At 35.0% G+C, this 1,947-nt stretch overlaps 1 non-coding gene across 1 annotated transcript; it reads left to right on the forward strand.

The window, feature by feature from the left end:
- Window positions 1-1,377: 1,377 nt before the first annotated feature.
- On the forward strand, window positions 1,378-1,447 carry MIR4445 (microRNA 4445). Its single transcript, NR_039647.1, has one exon. It is a non-coding gene; the product is annotated as a microRNA 4445 (primary transcript).
- The last annotated feature ends 500 nt before the right edge of the window (window positions 1,448-1,947 follow it).

Here is a 1,947-nt window from a genome sequence, read left to right on the forward strand (position 1 = left end):
AATTTATCCATCTCCTCTAGGCTTTCTAGCTTATGCATGTAAAGGTATTCATAGTAGCCTTGACTGGTCTTTTGTATTTCCATAGTATGGGTTGTAATATCTCCCATTTCGTTTCTAATTGAACTTATTTGGATCTTCTCTTTTCTTTTCTTTTCTTGGTTAATATCACTAATGGGCTAATCAATCTTATTTATCTTTTCAAAGAACCAGCTTTTTGTTTCATTTATCTTTTGTATTTTTTTGTTTCATTTAATTCTTCTCTGATCTTTGTCATTTCTTTTCTTCTGCTGATTTAGGTTTGGTATGTTCTTGTTTCTCTAGTTCCTTGAGGTGTGACCTTAGATTGTCTGTTTGTGCTCTTTCAGACTTTCTGATATAGGCATTTAGGGCTATGAACTTTCCTCTTAGCACTCCTTTGCTGTATCCCAGAGATTTTGATAGGTTGTGTCACTGTTATCATTCAGTTCGAAGAAGTTTTAAATTTCCATGTTGATTTCATTCAGCAAAGTTTCAGGATACAAGATTAATGTATACAAATCAGTAACTCTGTTATATACCAACAGTGACCAAGCTAAGGATCAAATCAAGAACTCAACTCCTTTTATAATAGCTGCATATAATAAAATACTTAGGAATATACCTAACCAAGGAGATGAAAGACCTCTAGAAGGAAAACTACAAAACACTGCTAAAAGAAATCATAGACAACACAAACAAATAGAAATATATCCCATGCCCATGGATGGGTAGAATCAATATTGTGAAAATGGCCATACTGCTAAAAGCAATCTAAAAAATCAAAGCAATTCCCATCAAAATACTATCACCATTCTTCACAGAACTAGAAAAAAAAACCCCTAAAATTCACATGGAACCAAAAAAGAGCCTGCATAGCCAAAGAAAGATTAAGCAAAAAGAACCAATCTGGAGGCCATAGTCACCAAAACAGCTGATCCTGGTGTAAAAATAGGCATGAAGACCAATGGAACAGAATGGAGAACCCAGAAATGAAGCCAAATACTTATAGCCAACTGATCTTTGATAAAGCAAAGAAAAACATAAACTGGGGAAGGGACACCCTATTCAACAACAAATGGTGCTACAATAATTAACAAGCTACATGTGGAAAAATGAAACTGGATCCTCATCCCTCACCTTATACAAAAATTGACTCAAAATGAATCAAGGACTTAAATCGAAGACCTGAAACCATAAAAATTCTAGAAGATAACATCAGAAAAATCCCTTCTAGACATTGGCTTAGGCAAGGATTTCATGACCAAGAATCCAAAAGCAAATGCAACAAAAACAAAGATGAATAGCTGGGGACTTAATTAAACTAAATTAAGCACAGCAAAATTTTGTGATTGTCTGTTTTTCCTGCAGATTGTTTCTTTTGCCGTGCAAGTTTAAGTTTTTGCACGGCAAAAGAAACAATCCAGAGGGTAAACAGACAACCCACAAAATGGGAGAAAATCTTTGCGATCTATACATCCGACAAAGAGCTAACATCCAGAATCTACAAGGAACTCAAATCAGCAAGAAAAAAACAAACAATCCCATCAAAAAGTGGGCTAAGGACATGAATAGACATTTCTCAAAAGAAGATATACAAATGGCCAACAAACAGATGAAAAAATGTTCAACACCACTAATGATCAGGGGAATGCAAATCAAAACTGCAGTGTGATACCACCTTACTCCTGGAAGAATGGCCATAATAAAAAAATGCAAAGAATAATAGGTGTTGGCATGGATGTGGTGAAAAGGGAACATTTTTAACGTGGTGGGAATGTAAACTAGTACAACCACTATGGAAAACAGTGTGGAGATTCCTTAAAGATCTAAAAGTAGAACTACCCTCTACCCAGAGAAAAAGAAGTCATATGAAAAAGATACTTGCACACACATGTTTATGCAGCAGAATTCACAATTGCAAAAATATGG

This window comes from Homo sapiens, chromosome 3, assembly GCF_000001405.40.
Source record: "Homo sapiens chromosome 3, GRCh38.p14 Primary Assembly".
Lineage (NCBI taxonomy): Eukaryota > Metazoa > Chordata > Mammalia > Primates > Hominidae > Homo > Homo sapiens.